This window comes from Homo sapiens, chromosome 1 (genome assembly GCF_000001405.40).
Source record: "Homo sapiens chromosome 1, GRCh38.p14 Primary Assembly".
NCBI classification, from domain to species: domain Eukaryota; kingdom Metazoa; phylum Chordata; class Mammalia; order Primates; family Hominidae; genus Homo; species Homo sapiens.
This window is the reverse complement of record NC_000001.11, coordinates 197,311,366-197,333,769: the sequence shown is the minus strand read 5'-3', so window position 1 is coordinate 197,333,769 and position 22,404 is coordinate 197,311,366. Positions and strand designations below refer to the sequence as shown.

The window sequence follows — 22,404 nt, the reverse complement described above, 5'->3', positions numbered from 1 at the left end:
TAACTAGTCTTCTAACTACTCTGTAAGTACAAATACATTTCCTTCACTATATGATGAATTTTTGTACATTTTTATTTCTGCAAGGAAATTCATCATATAGTTGAAAAGTACATTGAATATAGTGCATTTTCTTATTTCCCAAAAGATTACTTTTATACCAAAGATCTATTTTGTAATAGAGGAATAAGATATTTTTCTACATTGATTTGTTTCAACATACATTGAACTGGCCTTTCTCTGCCCTCTTACAGCCCTATTTTTCTCATACTGCAGGCATCTGAATGAGAAAAATGTACATTAATCAATCTGGCTAATTTTAAAGAAGGCCTCAATTATGAAATGATTCATTGCATGAAATTGAACTAAAAGCAGTCACATGCTTAGAGCTAATATTCTTTTCATTAAAAAAGTTTGCATCCACTTACTTTCAGCTTCAATTGGAGTTTTTGCTTATGCACAGCAGATTCTCACCAGCCTCTTCAGTGGCTCTCTCTGAGACCATTTCTGTAGTTCATGAATCACTGCCCATGAAGCATAATGGAGTGCACAGAGGAGAATTCACGCAGTGTGAACCCTCTCTATGTGCTACAGCTCTTTTTCCCCTTCTACCTCTCTGCCTTTTAAAATTTATTACCTTTTCTTACTTTGCTGCTCAGAGGAACACAGGTTTTTTTCTGTAAGAGGAGTTCTTTATGATCACTCTAAATTTGGATGTGGTGCACAGCAGCTAGGTCATTGTAATACAGTTTCCAGGATTCATCAGGAGGTCTAAGTTGAGGCAGAGCACTCCAGCACATCCATGCTGATTGCTGATGGTCTTTTTTCTTTCCTTCTCAACTTTGGCTTTTCCCTTGGTTCTACAGACCTTCTTTGGGGTTCTCGTTAGTTGGCCTGGGCTGCCACAAACACTGGTGGTCATGGGATAGCAATGAAATAAACACACTTCCCTGTGTGTCTAAATGATGGTATGGTGCAAGAAAAATTTCCAAATAAAGCTCACATGAACTTAATATTTGGCCGCCAGCCCTGGCTATACATTAGACTCATCAATTAAATTTGACCCTCTGGAAGTAGAGTCTGAGCACCTCTGTTTCAGAGCTCCCTGGGTAATTGCTAATGAGTAGTCAGGGCTGAGAAACACCCATGAGCTACTAGAACACAGGCCATTCTACTTGTGTAGGAGATTGGTGAGCAAGCCTATGACTGCATTTTTTTTTTTACCCGAACAAGCCTAACCAGCTAATAATAGACCCGATTTTTATCTGCCTTATGAGTCTCTTGTTTAAATTCTGTTTTCAAGAAAGTTTTATATATGTCACTTGAAAAGGTGAAATAATAACATGTAGCTGATTTCATAGAAAACAAGGGAAGAATATAGTCAAATAGGGAACAACACTATTATATCAGGGATTGACAAGGAAAGCATCCTCATTGTGGACCTAAGTGTTATAGTGAGAAAAGGGGACTCATTCCCATTGGACCCTACAGGGATGTGATACAACCTACAGTATAAATGAATTCATTGTAAGGTGAAGTGCCTTATGATGGAATTTGACTACATTTCACATTTAGAATATACTCTTTCTAGCTGTTTTTTTTGTTTGTTTTGTTTTTTGTTTTTTGTTTTTTTGAGACAGGGTCTCACCCTGTCGCTCAGGCTGGAGTGCAATGGCACAATCTCAGCTCACTGCAACCTCTGCCTCCCCAATTCAAGCAATTCTCCTGCCTCAGCCTCCCAGTAGCTGGGACTTGTATTTTTAGTAGAGATGTGGTTTCACCATGTTGGCCAGTGTGGTATCCATCTCCTGACCTCGTGATCTGCCGGCCTCAGCCTCCGAAAGTGCTGGGATTACAGGCGTGAGCCACCACACCTGGCCACCCTTTCCATCTTTTATGCCTAAATTTAGACGACTGAAAGGATTCATTAAAATCCAATTTAATTAAGATATTTAAAAAACATACATTGTAAAATATAGTTTTGCAAGCTGTGTTTTTTTTACAAATATAAGACTATTACACAATACTATAGTTGAAATGAATGAAACATTAATTTGATTTTATATCTATTCCTTTTAATCACCATTCACAATATTGAGATAGAAGCAGAAAATGGAAGACACTATCTTAATGAACTGTATTGATTTTTAAATGTGACCATTGTAAACAAAGCACTTCCAAGCCAGCCCCACAAAAATTTCTTATTTTTATTCAAAAATTTAAAAAATATTGAAATTCACCTGCCATAACTCCACCAAAGAAAGAGACACCTCAGTATGGCATACAAACAAGGAGCTTTTCATACAACTATTGTTTTATAAGCTTTTAAAATATTTCCTATAACTTTTAGATAGTATTGACAATTAAGTCACTTGATAAAATAATTTTCCATTTGACATAAGCATTTTAGCATCATAGAGTATACATAAAATAATACAAAAAGTGAATTCTTATTTAATATTCATTTACCTGAGTTTCAGGATGGGGAAGGGTGCCCAGAAATATATGGAAGAATTGTAAAACTTAGAACAATTTAGTAACAGTTGATTAAGCAGCCATTACTCACAAATACTGAGTCAGGCTCTTGGAGGAAGAGGGCTCCTCTTTTTTTTTTTGAGACGGAGACTGGCTGTGTTGCCCAGGCTGGAGTGCAGTGGCGCGATCTCGGCTCACTGCAAGCTCTGCCTCCCGGGTTCATGAGTAGCTGCGACTACAGGCGCCCGCCACCACACCTGGCTAATTTTTTGTATTTTTAGTAGAGACGGGATTTCACAGTAGTCTCGATCTCCTGACCTCGTGATCCTCCCGCCTCGGCCTCCCAAAGTGCTGGGATTACAGGCGTGAGCCACCGCGCCTGGCCGAGGACTCCTCTTCTTAATCCACTAACTGACATCTAATAGAAACTCAGAAAGTATTGATGAATTAAAGAATAAATATAAAACAATACTCTGTCCTTTAGAAACTAACATTTGGGGGGGGGTGCAAAAACATAGATATATGTAAAATAGGAAAGAATTATAGGGGATTCTTTAATACAGGTGTCAACTAGTACAAACATAATGAATATAATTACTGCAGCAGTGTGGAATTATTATTCCAGCTGGAAAGGAACCTGGAAACACTTCTTGTGTTGGGTGATATTTGAACTAGGTCTTAAAAAGTATAGCAGAACTTCAGAGTAGACATTGTGAAGTGAGGAAGGACATTCCAGGGGGAAAGAAATGACTTGTATAAGAAATGAAGAAGATTTATTAGAGGAAATAGAAGGCTTCGGTGGAATGTGTGAGGACATGGCCACTGTCATGGGCCCAAATTGTGAAGTGCTTTCAGGGAGAGGCTAAAATTATTCTCTGTGTAGTGGGAAGCTCTCAAGGCTCTTCAGAACTACGGCATAGGTCTATTTTAGAAAAGTTATTTCAAAGGCAGTGTTCAGAACAACTTCGAGAAGGTAGAAGCTATAAGTAGAACGTCTGGGAGGTTGTGTAGTAGTACACACAAGAGTTGAAATAAACCTAACCAAGGAAAAGAATGGATGAGCTCAATTTGGAACATATCTTAGATGTCAAAACAGCAGATTCTGAAGACTGGTTGTATGTAAAGGAGGAGGGAGAGGGGAAAAATTTCATTTTAGAGCAACTAGGAATGTGTCTATTTTATAAAATATATAGTTTTAGAATGTTTAAAAGTAAAATGATGCTGGAGGGTTCTGGTGCAAATTTTGAAGAGAAATATTTTCCAAATAGATATATTGCTTAACACTTGGAAAAAGAATGACAAAATAAAGAACTAAGTGTGAAAGTGTTGGGAGAAGAAGGCAAGTTTAAAAGCTGAAAGCCTCAGGAAGGCTTTCAGGAAGGTACAAAAACGGCAAGTGCTAAGGGAGAACATGGTATTAAAATGTGTGTGGTGTCTTAGAGATATGAGTCAGGAACTGTAAGAAAGTGGTGAGCAGAAGTTAGAATGAATGCATGTGAGAAAGCATAGGCTAGGTAAGTTACCCCCTTACAAGTAAATGGAAAAGCCAAAGAATAAAGCAAAGCAAGAAATGTGGCCATCGTGAAGAATTGACCTAAAACAGTAACAGTGATTCAAAAGGATAGGGAGGATAAATACTGAGTGTGAAGAGGCTGAATAGCATGTAACTTGGTAATGATGAGTTGTCAACTTGTTACTTTATTATTAAAATAAAATTCTATCAACAGAAACATTGTAAAGAATAGATAGATAAATATGAGGTACAATTGTTTGCTCTAAGACGTAAAACAAGAACAGGCTTTTTTTCTTAATAAAAATCGTGGTTTATCTGATATACCATGCTCCATCAGCTTTACTACCACTGATCTGTTGATAATACTCAAGTCAGCACTAGAAACCCATCAACTTCCAAACTGCCTTCCCAGAAGGTTGCAGTGCCAGGCTTTGGGGATTAGAAAGCAGGCTTGAACTGGAATGAAAGGAACATGCACTGATGAGGAAACCTGAACTGCCCTTGAGTTTCTCTTGGACCTCATTCATTCTAGACTGAATCCAGTTTTAAATCATGTAGAGCTCCATTTAAAACAGCAACAGTGACAGCAGGCAACCACTTAGAATTCAGTGCATTCAGTGGATTTTCAGCAGTTTAGGGAGTTTCTATCTAGTGATTGATTCCTGTCAAGAACTTGGCCATTTTCATAAATGATTGTGTGAAAAATAAAATGTCACCTCTGCTTCTGCCACTTAGAAAGAGCTAACTACACCATCTGTGATTCAGATATGATCACACTTACCAGAATAATTGTGGGGACAGATACAAGTATATCTTCCTATTTCATTGAGGCATGTAGCCTCGTTCTTGCAGGGATCTGAAGCACATTCATCCACTTCCAAGTCGCAGTGTCTGCCTTGATATCCTGGGACACAGAAGCAGGAGTAACCATCAATTCCATCCTGGCACACGGCCCCATTTTGGCAAGGGCTGGAAGCACACTCATCGTGATCTATCTCACAGAATCTTCCAGCATATCCAGCAGGGCAGATGCAGACAGGATAAATAGGGTCCTGATGGCAAATACCTCCATGTTGGCAGGAGTTCTTGCCACAGGAACCAATGGTAGTTTCACAGATTGTCCCACTGTACCCAGGAGGACATTTGCACAGAAAGCTCCTTTCTCCTGGGGTGTTCACACAAGTGGCACTTCCTTGACAGGGATTGGAGAAGCAAGGGTCTTTCATGTTGTCACAGTCTTTGTCCAAATTATTGGCTGTGTCTGAACAAGAACAATCATTGTCTTTTGAAAAATCTTTGCATGTAGAATTGTTTTGGCAAGAATTTGAGAGGCACCTGGTGTTGTTTTTATTGCAAAAGGAATCTACAAGGAAATAAAAAGTAACAAGATTAAATTTATAAATGAGGACAAAGTTAAAAATCTTTCTTTGTGACCTTTGTGCTGCCTCAACCAAACTCATTAATAAAATACATAGTTGGGTTCATCCTAATGAAAAAACTACGTCATCTACATTACTATACCTAGCACATTGTATGTACTTTCAGTGAACAATGCAATAATTTTCATAGTGATAATACCTTCAGAGCAAGACTTAAATGGACACAGAAAGAAGTTATAGGATATTTTAAATTATAATTGAAATTTAGTTCCCAGAGAAAGTACCATAGAGAATTTTGTTTCCTGATTTAACAGAAGACTTATATACAGGATAGCAAATTTTACTGGATGTAGAGTTTAATTGCTATTTTCAGACCAAATTATATAGGCTGCAAAATTGTTTCCTTGCAGTAAAGTTTGCCATCTACTGGCTGTTTTAAGAAATTCTACCACTGTGAGTTTCAGACTTTTTGTTTTCCCTCTTTTCCTTTCTTTTTTCTTTTTAAGAGCAGCAGAATTCCTTCAAGGAAAATGTCATGAGGAATCCCAATGTACACAATTGGAAAGCAGATCTGCTCAGGTCGAAGCAGGGAAGGTCCCTTGGAGCCCAGTCAGACCAGTCTCCTGCCTCCCCTAGAGACACCTCCAAGGAGCTAGGGTTTGAGACCAGCAATTTGAAAACCTCTGCACAAGAGAAAAGAAAAGATTTTATATAGTTACTATAAGCAATTATTTCTATATTTGCATTAAGTATTTCTAGTGCTAAAATAAAGTTTTTTTGTCTGCTGAGAAGTAAAAACAAATTTGACCAGTTTTAAGGAAGATGAAGACCCAAATAACAGTAAATATATTTCTTGTGTGTGTGTGTATGCATCTGTGTGTATGTATTTTCTAATAATTAAATTGACTTGGAAAATAGCCATATTGGTAATTTTGTTTCATTATGAGGCCGAGTATGTTTATTTAGAGCAATGAAACAGTGCAAGGTGCAAGACTTTCAGGGAAGAACATGTTAATTTCTCTATTGTAAGTAGTATTTATTCCTTTGTCCTTGATAGTTCTATTGCACTTTTCTATGAAACAGGTAATTCTCTAATTTAAAATCATCAATCAAGAATCTGAAAGTTGTATTCAGTGGTTTTTATTATCAATCTTTTCATTGACTTTTCTATTTAGCAATCATAGGAGATTTACCAGCGAGTCAGGATAATACAGTGGGAAGGGGCAACAGATGGGTACCAGGCCTGCTCTGCCTCTCCCAGCCTTGGTTTCTGTTTTTTTTTTTTTTTTTTTTTTTTTTTTTTTTTTTTTTTTTGGTGTGTGAGAATTAAGTCACTAAATTTAAATGCTTTGCAGACACATCGTAAGTGTTTGGTAAATGCTAGCTCTTACCTTTATAAGATGTTGAGAAATAGTTTTGAGTTCTTAATAGAAAATTTACTGAACAAGTACAAAACATAGCAATAAAAATAATTAAAAAGGTACAAGTCACTAATAATTTTCACTGAAGGAATTTTATTTTAAGAAAGAGAATGAAACAAAATAAACAAACAAAAAAACACGAGTACCCTTACATAGAAAGCCTAACAATGGACTAATTCAAGGTGCCAACTATGCCCTTCCTGTAAATTACCTGGGAATGGTCAGGATCGGACAAAAATAATTATGAAATTGAATTAAAAAGGTTCTGTTCCCCAGCTCCCTTGTTTTTTGCAAGAAAATATTTAACATCTGATTATACATTTTTAAATTATTTATTATTATTATTATTATTTTGAGACAGAGTCTTGCTCTGTCGCCCAGGCTGGAGTACAGTAGCATGATCTCAGCTCACTGCAACCTCCATCTCCCAGGCTCAAGTGATTCTCCTGCCTCAGCCTCCCAAAGAGCTGGGATGACAGAAGCCCACCACCATGCCTGGTTAATTTTTTGTATTTTAGTAGAGATGGGGGTTTCACCATGTTGCCGCCAGGGTGGTCTCGAACTCCTGAGCTCAGGCAATCTGCCCGCCTCAGCCATCCAGGCCTCCCAAAGTGCTAGGATTACAGGCTTGAGCCACAGTCCCCGGCCTCTATAAATTTTAAGTACCATTTAAATTCTTGGCTCAGCAAAATGCTAGCTATGGAATTTGAGTTGTGATAAGGACTTAATTGTTCAGAGCATCTGCTGTATCTTTGTATTGTGCTCCATATCTATTTATTTATACCAAGTGCTCAGTAAATATTTCTTGAGTATTAACTGTCAAAGCCATAGCTCTTACCTTAATAGTTTCTTTATGTAAAACTATGCATATGTATATGCATACATATATGTATATTTAAATGTATAATTATTGATCCTTGATCTTTTTCAAAATTCTATTTAAATATCCTCTTATCATCAGTATACTCAGTCTTTTCTTAAGATTTACTAACTTAATTCTCTCCCTAGCTCTCTAATTATATCTGTCTCTAGATCTCATTTTAACTGATATTAACGTCAAGAATTAAATGTATCCTTTGTCAGCAGAAGGAAAGGAAGGAGGCGTAGATAAAACTCCTATTATTGCTCATATCTGGGTTAAAGTAGCAATTTTTAATATGCCTCATATTTAGCTAGATAAACACTCCTCATTGTATCCTCACTAATGTATATAAAGTTATTTGGGAATTTATTCATTGTTCTGGAACATGTATATTTCTGGTGTTTTTTTTCCTCAAACTGTTGAGACAAGCAGGGACTTGGGGAAGTCGCTGCTAGGGATAGGAAAAGAATATGTCACCTGTGGTATGGAATAATGTTATTTTCAATATATATGGTTGGCGTTATTTGAAAAAAAATTGAGTAATTTTCCAAACGTGTAAAGGCACAGTTTTTTAAATTTTAATTCTATAGTTATCTATATTTAACCTAATTTTACCTAAATAATCAGAGTAGAATAGAGGAATTGTGAACATAAAATTTGATATTTCCAAAAAATCAAATGAATGGTGTCTTACATCGTTTCACCTAGAAGACTGACGATTTTATAAACATTTGCTATGTTTTGCTAATGAAATGTAATCAGAATGAAATAGAAGGTATAAACAATGCTACTGGAGATAGAACTCAAAATTTCCAGGTCTAAGAATGCCAATTTATGAGAATAAAGTGGTTTGCTGAATTCTCTTTAGCCTGGCTTTCTGCAGAGAATGAAATTTAGTTCCAGGATTGGGGTGGGGAGGGAGGCGGTGCAGGAGGGGCACATCTTTAATCAGGACATAGCCAAAATGGCTTGCACATGGTAAGGCAGTCAATAGAAATTTGTTGAATAATGAATGAGTGAGCAAGGAAACCTGAATTCCCATTTAAGCCTTGCTGTGAAATTCTTACTTTGACCTCTTTTGATAAAATCAAGCAGAACAAATGATTGGTTAAATCACTTACTTTGATGTACTGCGTGATAGAATCCACATGGAGCAGTTAAAATAAGAAGTAGATGGGCTCCTTTAAGACCATTTTTCCTTTGTATTCCTACTGTACACGTTGTCTTAAATACTAAATTGAGGCCAATTTAATATAGTGAGAAGAGGACATTTTTATGGTAGACAGAGATTTAAATTTTGGTTCTAGTATTTACCATCTCTGTGACTTTAAGAAAAAACATTTTCACTGAGCCTCAGTGTCCTGATTACTAAAGAAAATGATGTGGAGCCATATATATAGTGGATAAGCGCATGAAGTTTGGTGCCTGGGTTTAAATCCTGGCTCTGCCACTTACTAAGTCTATGAGTTTTATCAAGATAACATCGCTCTGCCTCAGTTTCCATTTTTGTAAAAATGGCACCTATCTCATAGAGTTGTTATAAAGGGTTAAATTAATGAACATAAAATGCCTAACAGGGCTTGGCACAGAGTGAGCATTATCAATCATCCTTGTTCTTATTATTATTAGGAATAAAAGAGATAATACACATAAAGTTCCTTATAACAATCAAGCATAAAGTAGTTTTTTAAAAAACATTATTTGCTTTTTCTTTCAATGCAGGGTCCAAAGTACATATATCTTATTATTTGTCTATTGACTAGCAGAGTGCCATGTACATAGTTGGTGCTTAGTAAATGCATATTTAACAAATGAATAAGTTCAAGAAAATGAAACTATATAATATTGCAAAGAGAGTTTTGGGGGTTCTGAGAAATGCAAGCTTAGCACCAGCACACATTCTCTGAGAATCATACCTAATAATCAGGGCAGGTTCCCATCATCATCAACCACAATTAATACTCATGCAAACTCCTTGAAACACGACTTTCTTACTCCAGGTAAGAAGATTGGTTTTGGCCAAAATTCATTGACATCACCTGTATCTTAATATCCCTATTCTACTATTAGCTCCTCTTTAGAAGGTCAGTGGCCTCACTGAGAAAGTTTTCTGTCAACATATTTTAAATCCCCTATATCTGATAGGCACGTTGCTATTTGCTTTTATATATAATTTCTGATCATCAGCATCATCACAGATGAAATCAGGTCCTGCCGGTTCAAAGGTTTCTTTTTCTCTCAAAGCATCCCCATGAGAATCAAAGCTTCTGGGTCCTCCTTTACACAGCCTACACACCTAAGCACAGGGTCTGGCTTGGATCAGGTCTTGGGCGTTAGGGTTAGGTAGGGTAAGGGACCAAGTGCATGTGCCTCAGGCTGCAATCATACACATTTACCTCATAGAAGATGCCCTGCCCTTTGTCATCCTTAGAACATGACTAAATGATGCAAGTTGTGAAGGTCATTTTTACTCACTGTCAATCATGAAAAATTTTAATGAGGAACTAATTATATTCCTTTGACATTACATTTATTTAAAGCTAATCAGGCCTGAAATCACTGACCTTATTATAATCAATGTATATTTTAATAAGGACAGGCTTTTGAATGACCCCTTTTACTATGGAATAGACATATTTTACTAGTTTATTTGCCTCTAGCAAATTGAAATTCTCACAGTAAAGCTAAAAGTGTTCTGAACAAAGACGAAAAAGTTTTTTCCCGCTCCATAAAGCCATGTTTTGCAGAATCGATCAACGAACAGATATAATTTCAATGTCAATTATATAATGATGGTGCAGGAAAATTTAGCTACACAACACTTTTGTTCTAAAAGAAGATCCAAAAGTTTTAATATCTCTACTAGAGACTTATCAGTGTGCTAAGTTTTATTATACACAATTAATGTTAAAAAAGTGACATTTGTAAAATAAATGAAAACAGCCCTTCGAACTCTAGTTCATTCCACTGTACATCAAAATAGTATTGGCAATCAATATAAGAATGAAAATAATTAGAATAATCTAATTTTTCAATATTATTTTTGATATTATAAAAATTTCTCCAATTTATTGGTTCCTTTCATAATTCTTGTGTTTCATTTAACCCCTATAGAAAAATTATGGGATTGGAGGTATTACATCCATTTTATAAATATGGAATTGAGTTTCAGGAATGTCAGATAACTTCCCCAAGTTTATGCATCTAATATGTGCTAGGTCAGGATGCCCAGACTGTAAAATATTTATTTGAAAAAAATCCAAATGAAAAGGAAGACAGAGTCATAAAAAGAAACATCTAAAACATTATCTAGATCAGCATTTTCTAAACATTAATGTTCATATGAACTGCTGAGGATCTTGTTAACCTTGCAGAGTCAGGAGGAGTGGGGCCTCAGACTTGGCATTTATGGTAAGCTCCTAAGTAATACTGATGCTGTTGGTCCACATACTACACTTAAATAGCAAGCACCTATACCAGTGCTGTCTAATGGAAGTATAATGTGAGCTACATATGGAATGTTAAGTCTTCTGTAACCATGTTAACAACGAAAAACAAACAGGCAAATTAATTTTAAATATTTAACCAAATATAGATAAAGCATTATATTTAAATATGTAATTGGTATAAAAATTATTATTATTATTATTATTATTATTTGAGACAGAGTCTCACTCTGTCACCCAGGCTGGAGTGCAGTGGTGCGATCTTGGCTCACTGCAACCTCTGCCTCCTGGGTTCAAGGTATTCTCATGCCTCAGCCTCCTGAGTAGCTGGGATTCCAGGGATGTGCCACCATGCCCAGCTAATTTTTTCTATTTTTAGTAGAGATGGGGCTTGTCTCGAACTCCTGGTTTCAAGTGATCTGTCTACCTCGGCCCCCCAATGTGCTGGGATTACAGGCATGAGCCACCGTACCTGGCCAGTGTAAAAACTATTAATGAAATATTTACACTTTTTAACATTAAGCCTTTGAAATCCTTAGTGTATTTTACACTTCTAGCACACTTAATTTTAGTCACATTTCAAGTGCTCAAAAGCCATATGTGATTAATGGCTACTGTGTTGGATAGTGCAACTCTCAACAGTTTTCTCGCATTTTTGTACAGAGAACTAAAGTCTAGAAAAATAATGTGTGGTTATGAGTAAGACATTATTCCTCCAGAATTTAAATTATCTTCTTTATGACATTCTTCTTATAGTAGCCATGAATAAAAATATCTCAGAATACTTTCTGAGAGTTTAACTGTGATGTATATTCAAATTGTTAGAAGTCCAATGCAAAGTGTACTTTTCCCATTAATCCTCCTCATATTTTTACATACCCCTTGAGCTCCTGGCCTGAGCAGCCACAGAATTTATTATTGTTAAGATACAATTGAACACTTATCTATATGCAACCTAAAGTGTTCTTCATGCCATATATGAAGACTTGTCCTTACAATTAGCAAACAAACTCTTTAAGTTCAGGAACTATAATATATGCTTTTCAGTATGCCTGTATGTATGAGGTATGTATTTGGTTTTGATGACATTTTGAATACCACCTTCTAATAGTAAAATAAATATATGATGATTGTTTGCTTTGCTGATTCATTGGTTTTTATCCCAGGGAAATTTGTTTCACTCACTCTATGGCTCACTATGCTTGAACAAAGACAGAATGATTTGTTTCTGTCAGGTGACTCAAAGTTGTGGACCAAATTTGGGGAAAACCTAGGTTACTGTGGTTACTGGATAACTTGGAAGTCATCATGAATATATTTTTTATTTTCTTTTTATTCAGCTAAAAGCCCCATGGCAATGAGCACAACAACTACAATGCCATTGTGCCTTTGGTCTGGATAAGATTTTTCAAGAATTTATGAATGGCTCCTTGCCCAGTGTATTCTGGCACATGCTGTTCTGAGCAGGGCCTTGGTGAATACAGACATGCCTCAGCTCATGTGCATAGCCCTATGGCACACATGGAGAATGGGTCTTGATCTCCCAGGGATCCATTTGGCAAACTCCACCCCAGAAGGCTATGGCAAGTGATTACGTAATGAATTCCGAGGCTTCATTGCTGAGCACAAAACACCAGGGAAATGGGAATAGCTTGTACTGTTTGAAATCAGAGAGAAGGAGATGCATGGTTGCTGACATCCTTCTGAGATTTGAAAGAGAATATCTGATGTTTTGAATTGGCAGCTTAACTGAATAGAAAAGAATAAAAGTATAAGGATGGCTCTACTGTAGAAAATGCATGAGACATCATAACATAAATGAAATCATTCTTGTAAATATATGGCCACTTCAAATCAATTAATTTAATTAATAGTTTAATAAGAGTGCTTTACTTGATATGATAATTTAGTTTTTAAAATAAATCCCATATACTATTCAACATTGTATATACCTATAGTGTACAACATAGAGTAGATAATCAATAACTCACTATTAAAGTCAACCAAACTTGATCCCCATCTTCCTCTGTTTAACTACTTAACTAAATTTAAGCCTTCCATCTTTCTTTCTCTTGAAAAATTATTTCCTGCCTACCACCATCTACTCCTGTACCACATTCCTGTCATAAATTCCCCTTGATCTTTCACTTATAAGGGCTCCTGAAGGATGCTTATGTATGAAATGGAGGCCTTTGCTTTTTTCTATGTCAGTTTTTATGATACTAAAATTTAATAAATTCAAAAAATTACTAAACTTCCCCATGTAATACCTAGTGAATTATAACTCAATAGGGACCAGGTCTATTCTGGCACACACTGAATAGCCTAATAAAGGATGAGTATTCAGACTCCATTAGTTAGAGTAGGAAAAGCTCCACCTGTCAGGGAGCCCAATAGGTGAAATCATAGTGTATATGAAGTATTAGTAAAGCAAGAGCCCTTGAGTGATCTATGTCAGAGTGAACACACTTTCTCACGAGGACTATTTATGGTTTTCCAATTTTTGGTGAATACTATGAAATGCATATCTTTAAGGCTATTTGAATTTGCTGTGCAGAAATAAAGTAGGGATGCTATCAATTATTTCCTGAAGTGAAGGAGCCTAAGAGCTGATTGGCTAAGGCCAGGTCTTTATAGAATAATTAACCATTTAATCTTTACAAAACAAAAGCAAGATTTTAAGCGTTTCATCAAATAAGCCAACTAATATTCATCCTCCAAGAGGATGCTAATTTTGTGGGATAAAAGGGGTTAAGAGGCCCTTAAAGAATCTGTTTACCTCAGGTCTATTTCTAAAGCACCCTATCATGTTGTTATAGAAACCACTTGCGGCTAAAAATCTCCCATCATGATTATTGCTATAGTAACCACCAAAAACAAGAAGCCAGTTTTTCATCCATTTGCCATCATCTCCCTCTGCCCAAGACAGTTTTGTTTCTAAATCCTCCTATGTTGCTGGAAACACAGGGGAAAAAAGAGTAAACAAATTAAATGGGTGAGAAAAAAAAAGAAAGAGAGAAATGATGACACATTACAAGCAATAAACTGATCCTAAATATTTTGTTTACACTCAGAGAGAAAAGAAATTGTAATTACACAGACAAACTAGTTTTTAAATTGGTGACCAAATCTCTTTACTTCCATTGTTTGAACTCAAAAGTATTAAGAAATTCTATTTTCAAATAGGAGAATATTTAAAAAATATTCTCCGTTCTTTCTTTTTTTTTTTTTTTTTTTTTTTTTTGAGATGGAGTCTCACTCTGTCACCCAGGCTGCAGTGTAGTGTAGTGGCATGATCTCAGCTCATTGCAACCTCTACCTCCCAGGTTCAGGCAATTCTCCTGCCTCAGCCTCCCAAGTAGCTGGGACTACAGGCACCCGCCACCACGTCCGGCTAATTTTTTTTTTTTTTTTTTTAGTAGAGACAGGGTTTCACTATGTTGGCCAGGCTGGTCTCAAACTCCTGACCTCATGATTTGCCCACCTCAGCCCCCCAAACTTCTATTTTTAAAGCCATCATTGAGCATTTTAGAGAATTTCCCAATAATATACCTTTGTTTAATATTGTCTTTTTTAGTGTAAATCAAGGTGATTTTCCTATATTCATTTATTAGAAGATATTATCAGGTCCTATTATAGTCTCATATTTAAAAAGTCAATTTCTGATAACATTTATCATTTGCTTGTAATGAGTTCAAAAACTTCTCTTTGGAACATATAATACATTGTTGTTAACTCTAGTCATCCTGCTATTCAACAGAACACCAGAACTTATCCTCCTGTGTAACTATAACTTTGCACCCATTGGCCAATCTCTCCTATCCCCACTTGTTCCCTAACCTCCCTATCTTGTGGCAACTACTGTTCCACTGTCTACTTCCACAAGAACAACTTTTTAGATTCCACATGTGAGTGAGATCATGCACTGTCTTCCCAAGCCTGACTTATTTTACTTAACATAATGTCATCCAGGTTCATCCATGTTCCTGGAAATGACAGTATTTTATTGTTTTATGACTGAATAACATTCCCTTGTGATAGTACTTTTTAAATCCATTTAAAAATTGATGAGCATTGAGGTTGATTCCATATTTTGGTTATTGTGAATGGTACTACAATAAACATAGGAGTGCAGATATCTCTTCGAAGTACCTATTTCATTTCCTTTGGATGTATACACAGTAGTGGGATTGCTGGATCATACAGTAGTTCTATTTTTATTTTTTGAGGAAACTCTAAACTATTAATATTTTCCAAAATGGCTGTACTCATTTATATTCCCACCAGCAGAGTGTAAAATTTCTCTTTTCTCCACATCCTCACCAACACTTGTTATCTTCTGATTTTTTGACAGTAGTCATTCTAATTGGAATGAGGTGAAAATTTCTGTCATCTTGATTTGCCTTTCCCTGATGATTTCTGATGTTGAACATCTTCTTTTTCATTTATCTGTTGGCCATTTGTATATCTTCTTTTGAGAAATATCTACTCAAGTCTTTCGCTCATTTTTTGATGGGTTTACTTTTGTTGTTGGTGTTGAGTTTCTTATATATTTTGGATATTAACCCCTTATTAGATGTAGAGTTTTCAAATATTTTCTCCCATTCTATAGGTTGCCTCTTTGCTCTATTGATTGTTCCCTTTGCTATGCAGAAGCTTTTTAGTTTGATGTAATCCTATTTGTCTATATTTGTTTTTGTTGCTCAGACTTTTGAGGTTTTTTACAAAAAAAAAAAATCCTTACCTAGGCCAATGTCACAGAGCTTTTCCCCTATGTTTTCTGTTAGTAGTTTCATTTCAGGTCTTATGTTTAAGTCTTTAATCAATTTTGAGTTGATTTTTGTATATGGTGAGAGATAGGAGTCTAGTTTCATTGTTCTGCATGTGCATATGCAGTTTACCCAGTACCATTTATTGAAAAGGCTGTCCTTTCCCCATTGTCTATACTTGGCACCATTGTCAAAAATTAGTGGGCCGTAGATGCAGGGATTTATTTCTGGGCCCTCTATTCAGTTCATTAGTCTATGTGTCTATTTTTATTCCATTTACCATGCTGTTTTGGTTACTCTAGCCTTTTGGTATATTTTGAAGTCAGGTCATGTGATGTATCCAACCGTGTTATTTTTGCTCAAGATTGCTTGGGTAATTTGGGGCCTTCTGTGGTTGCACACAAATTTTAAGATTTTTTTTTTCTCATTTTGGGAAGATTGTCATTGGTTTTTTGTTGTTTGTTTGTTTTGTTTTGTTTTTTGTTTTTTTGAGGCAGAGTCTCACTCTGTCACCCAGGCTGGAGTGCAAAGGCGTGATCTCGGTTCACTGCAACCTCCGCTTCCCGAGTTCAAGTGATTGTCCTGCCTCAGCCTCCCCAGTAGCTGGGATTACAGGCATGTGCCACCACACCAAGCTAATTTTTGTATTTTTAGTAGAGATGGGGTTTCACCATGTTGGTCAGGCTGGTCTTGAACTCTTGACCTCGGGTGATTCACCCACCTTGGCCTCCCAAAGTGCTGGGATTACAGGCGTGAGCCACCGTGCCCCACCTGTCATTGCTATTTTGATAGAGATTGCACTGAATCTGCAGGTGCAGAGGTGTACATTGTACGGACATTTTAACAATATTATTTCTTCTGATCCATGAACATGAGATATATGTGTCTTCTTCAGTTTCTCTCCTCAATGTTTTTTGGTTTTCATTGCAGAGATCTTTCACCTCCTTGGTTAAATTTATTACTAGGCATTCTGGGTTTTTTTTTGTTTTTTTTTTTTGTAGCCATTGTAAGTGAAATTGCTTTCTTGCTTTCTTTTCAGACAATTCACTATTGGTGTATAGAAACATCACTGATTTTTGTATGTTGATTTTATATCTTGAAACTTTACTGAACTTGTTTATTAATTTTAATGGTTTTTTGGTGAAGTCATTGGGGTGTTCTCCATGTAATATCATGGCATCTCTAAACAGAGAGAGTTTGCTTCAATGAATTTTAAAGTTTGAATGTGACATTAAATTTTGGCACTATTTTGTGCAAAAATGGCATGTATAAATTAAACCAAAAATAATTACTTTTTTTATTTTCTTGGCTCAGACTTCGTCTCTTAATATTCACTTTCTTTGTGTATTAATAACAAGCAAATTTTATAGCTGGAGTTTATGGTGCTTTGGTTCTTATATTCCAACAGACACATATAAAAATCTGGGACGGGCGCGGTGGCTCACGCCTGTAATCCCAGCACTTTGGGAGGCCGAGGCGGGCGGATCACGAGGTCAGGAGATGAGACCATCTTGGCTAACACGGTGAAACCCCGTATCTACTAAAAATACAAAAAATCAGCCGGGCTCGGTGGCGGGCGCCTGTAGTCCCAGCTACTTAGGAGGCTGAGGCAGGAGAATGGTGTGAACCCGGGAGGCGGAGCTTGCAGTGAGCCAAGATCATGCCACGGCAGTCCGGCCTGGGCGAAAGAGTGAGACTCCGTCTCAAAAAAAAAAAAGTCTGACTTTGAAATCGTTTAAAATCTGATTTTTGAACCAAAGCTCATGTGATGAGGATATGATGCAAGAATGATGATGGCAATGATGTTTAAAACCCCTGTCCCCTAGTGAAGATCTTAAGATATATCTAGGGTTACTTCTTAAACCAAAACCTGTAGCAATGATGCATTGAGTAGAAAAATTGTTGTAAATAAAAGGCTAATCTTCAAAAATATGAAGTCAGAATAAGCTTTATACATGGCAATTGACCTCAGTTCACCTCTAAGATTATCCTTTTAGAATGTTAGTGTAAGAAGCAATTGTTATATCTTAAACATTTTATTTGAAAAGAAATAATTTAAATTATTCAAATAAGTGTTGGCCATTTTCAGGATACTGAATTCACCCAAAACAAAAATAAAAATGCATCTAGTCACTCAAATAAGAGCAAGTTACTTTGAATAAACTGAACAACTCAACTCATTGCACCTGAAGGTTATTTTTAATTAAGCACATTATTTGGGAAAGTCTAAACAAATATGTGGAAGTTGATGCAAACACTACTTTGCTTCAGCTGGTTGTCTTTGTTTGGATATTTATATTCATGAAGTATAATTTCACTCTTAGAGAGTCTATATGAATGGAAAAATTAGATGTTGTTTCTGGTACTTTTCTCCACACATGTGGATTTTTGTACCCCTCAGCATGTTTTGCTTTCCATCTGTTTATTTTAGTTTTATGCAGGCACAGCTTTGGAGCTGAGAGAAAGAAAGTGTCTGAAACTGTGTCTTTGGCTGATCTGTGTTGACATAGCATTTACCGTCAACCCCAAGCTTTTCCGAAATTTGTTATGATGAGATAATAAATAGTTCATATGTGTAAAATAGTGCTTAACACAAAGACACACAGGAAATATTTGATGCCTTTTGTGAAACCAAACTAGTTTGGCCATTGTGATGGAATGACAGGGTAGCTAGTACAAGACTCGCCCTCCTGATGTAAACAACTAAAAAAAAAGGTAGGAAATAAATGAGGTTTCTATTTTTGGGAACTGAGCACTGTTAGTGCAGAACTATGATTTTTGCTAGATGTGAAACACACATAAATACACCAGTGATCTCCTGGGATTTGGATTTGGAATGGCTTTTGTGCTGTGGGCAGACAGAAGGAATACAATGAGATGAGCAGCAATGTTTCTGAGCTGAAGAGGATGAGGTCAGAGTCATAGGCAGCAGAAGCAATTAGAGTTTATAGGCCAGAGCACCAGAGAAGAAAGAGCCACTCAGAGGATGGGCTCAAAAGACTCATTAATCATCATGGGTCTCTGAGGGGCCTAGCAGATATCATCTGCTGAGAGATTGAGAGATAAACAAAACTGTCAGAAATTAGAGAGTTGGAGTTCCAGCTCAGCCAGTAGGGAGAGACATGACACTAAACATCTCAAGCATTGAGAAACCAGAAAGGCCTTTCTTTAGGAGTAGAGACCACATTATACAGAAAGAAAGATGCCATACATTCAAAAACAAAATAAAAGCATTCAAAGAATAAAATCAAGATTTACAGGGAAAAAACATATTTTAGCTGCCTGCCAGAACAAAATTCCAAATCTTTTAAAGGAAGTTAACATAATCAGGAACCCCTTTAATTATCGTCTGAATGTCCAATATACAATAAAAATTATTAGATCTAACCTATAATCAAGAAAAAAGTATAAATATTGAAATGACATAACTGTTGAAATTAGCTTGCAAGAACTTAATATTTTTCAAGGACTTAAATAAAAGAATGAATATGAGTAAACAATGAGAAAACTTTGCAGAGAAATGAAAACTATAAGAAGGACCCAATGAGAATTTCAGAATTGAAAAGTAAAATATCTGAAATGAAGAATAATCTTGATGGGCTGAACAGTACATTGGAACCAGAGAAGGAAGGATTCACATATCTGAAGACGATTAACAGAAATTACATAATCTGAAGAATGGAAAGAAAAAATATTTCAAAAAACTGCAGAGAGCTGCAGTGATCTGTGGGATAATTCCAAGTAGGTTCCCATATAATTGCAGTACCAGAGGGAGAGGAGAAAAAGAACAGGGAGGAAAAATATTCTGAATTAATAATGGCCAAATATTTCCCAAATTTGGTGGAAGATGTCGATCCAAGAACCTTAGCAAATCTTAGTCAGGTTTTTAGCAAATCTTAGCCAGGCGTTTTTAAACTGGTTTTAACTGTGCTAGTTAATGAATCTGTTACCCTTTTAAAATTTAACCAGACCTACAAATACTAACTCAAAATAGATTAAAGACTTGAGATATTTGCACTCCCACGTTTATTGAAGCACTGTTCACAATAGGCGAGATATGGAATCAACCTGTGTCCATCAACAGATGAATGGATTTTTAAGTGTAGTATATATACCACAAAAAGAATGAAATCCTGTCATTTGCGGCAACATGAATGGAACTGGAGGTCATTATGTTAAGTGAAAGAAGCCAGGCACAGAAAGACAAATATCACATGTTCTCACTTATACATGGGAGTGAAAAAAGTGGATATCATGGAGGTAGACTGATGGTTACCAGATGCTGGAAAGGGAAAGGAAGCAAAGAGGTATAAAGAGAAGTTGGTCAATGGGTACAAAAACGCAATTTGATAAAAGGAATACATTCTAGTACTTGATAGTAAATAAGGGATATTATAATTAACCATAATTTACTGCATATTTTTAGATAGCTAGAAGAGAAAGAATTGTAATGTTCCCAACACAAAGAAGAGATAAATGTTTCAGGTGATGTATATCTCAATTGGCCTAATTTGATCATTACAGATTGTATACATGTATCAAAATATCACATTCACCCAAAAAATGTGTACAACAGTATGGTTTGGCTCTGTGTCCCCACCCAAATCTTATGTTGAATTGTAATTCCCAGTGTTGGGGGAAGGACCTGGTGGCAGGTGATTGGATCATGGGAGCAGATTTCCCCCATGATGTTCTTGTGATAGTGAGTGAGTGCTCACAAAATCTGATGGTTTAAAAGTGTGTGGCACTTCCCCTCCACCACACATTCTCTTTCCCCTGCTGCCACGTGAAGAAAGTTCTTGGTTCCCCTTCACCTTTGGCCATGATTGTAGGTTTCCTGAGGCCTCCCAGTCATGTTTCTTGTTAAGCCTGAAGAACTGTGAGTCAATCAAACCTCTTTCCTTCATAAGTTACCCAGTCTCAGGTAGTTCTTTATAGCAGTGTGAGAATGGACTAATACAAACAATGATGTGTCAATTTAAAAAATAAAAAAACTTAACTGGATAAAATACTGTTGAAAGGGATTAATGCACTTGATATATTACAGAGAATGAAAAATACAAGAATAATATTAAATGTTGCTATGTGTAAAAAAATTTAACTGGATAAAATATTGTGGAAAGGGATTAATGCAGTTGATATATTACAGATAATGAAAAATACAAGAATAATATTAAATGTTGCTATGTGTAAAAAACACAATATAAAAGTGCTCTCTTTTATTTTATTTGAATAGATAATTGTCATTATTTTGTAGCCATATTATATTTTTTCTATCTTAACAGATTGTTTTTATTTTTGGGTGTTTGTTTGTTTGTTTGTTTTGAGACGGAGTTTCACTCTTGTCCCTCAGGCTGGAGTGCAGTGGTGCCATCTCGACTCACTGCAACCTCCCCATCCTGGGTTCAGGCAGTTCTCCTGCCTCAGCCTCCTGATGGCTCGGATTACAAGTGCCTGCCACCACGCCCAGCTTTTTTGTTTGTTTGTTTTGTTTTTTTGTATTTTTAGTAGAGACTGGGTTTCACCATGTTGGCCAGGCTTATCTCTAACTCCTGACCTCAGGTGATTCATCCATCTCGGCCTCCTAAATTGCTGGGATTACAGGCATGAGCCACCGCACCCAGCCTGTTAACAATGTTTTATGACTGACAGAGGTTGCATATTCATTCAGTTTCTATGATTTCTTTTGTTTCAGTGAATAGCAACTAATAAACAGTTACTATGTAGTTATCTTTCCTTGCTAAGGTTTATTTGTATATTGATTATATACACATATTTTTTCAGGGACATTAAAAATTTTTTCATCTCATCAAATCTGGAGCAACATGCCTAAGTTATGTTGTTTATGGGAAAATCTATGATGTGATAATTTACTTACGACTTACAGAAAAGAATAGCAGAAACTATGAGAAAAGCCTTAGGTTTTACTTACACTTGGCTATATGAAATTTAAGTTTCTGTACAAAGAAAGATATATCACTCAAAATTTAAAAGATGAGCAAAAGAATCCAGCATATTTAACAGATAAAGAGCTCCTACAAATCTATAAGAAACAGATAAGCACTGGTAATTGGGGAATTTCCCATTAAAAGATATAAATAATATTAATAGTGTATTATATACTTGAAATTTCCAGAGAGAGTAGATCTTAAATCTTCTCAACACACACACACACACACACACACACACACACACACACACACACACACTAACTATATGAGGTGATGCATGTGTTAACTAACTTGATTGTGGTAATCATTTCACAATATATACATATATCTAAGCATCATAGTGTTCATCTTAAATGTGTACAATATTATCTGTCAATTGTACATCAATAAATCCGGAAAAAAATAAAGTAGTTGCAACAAGAGTTAAAAACTATGAATTTTTAATGAAATACAAGAAATATTTTGTATAATCTTGGAAAGCAAAATTATTCTTGCACATTAGATTTCCAGGGGTTATTCATCTTACAACGGAACGTTTGTTTCCTCGATCAACATCTCTCAAATGTCCTCACCCTGCAGGCTCTGGTAATC

The 22,404-nt window shown here is 36.1% G+C and overlaps 1 protein-coding gene across 12 annotated transcripts in view; it reads right to left on the bottom strand.

Annotated features, from left to right (window-relative positions):
• The window catches only part of CRB1 (crumbs cell polarity complex component 1), a 276,952-nt gene that overhangs the window by 144,686 nt on the left and 109,862 nt on the right, over positions 1-22,404 (bottom strand). For all 12 annotated transcript variants that reach the window (NR_047564.2, NR_047563.2, NM_001257965.2 and 9 more), the window contains one exon: positions 4,767-5,348. Coding sequence is in view for 10 of the 12 variants with exons in the window: in XM_017000852.2 (XP_016856341.1) it covers positions 4,767-5,348 (582 nt within the window). In the remaining 2 variants the exon portion in view is untranslated. The remainder of the gene's footprint in view (positions 1-4,766; positions 5,349-22,404) is intronic.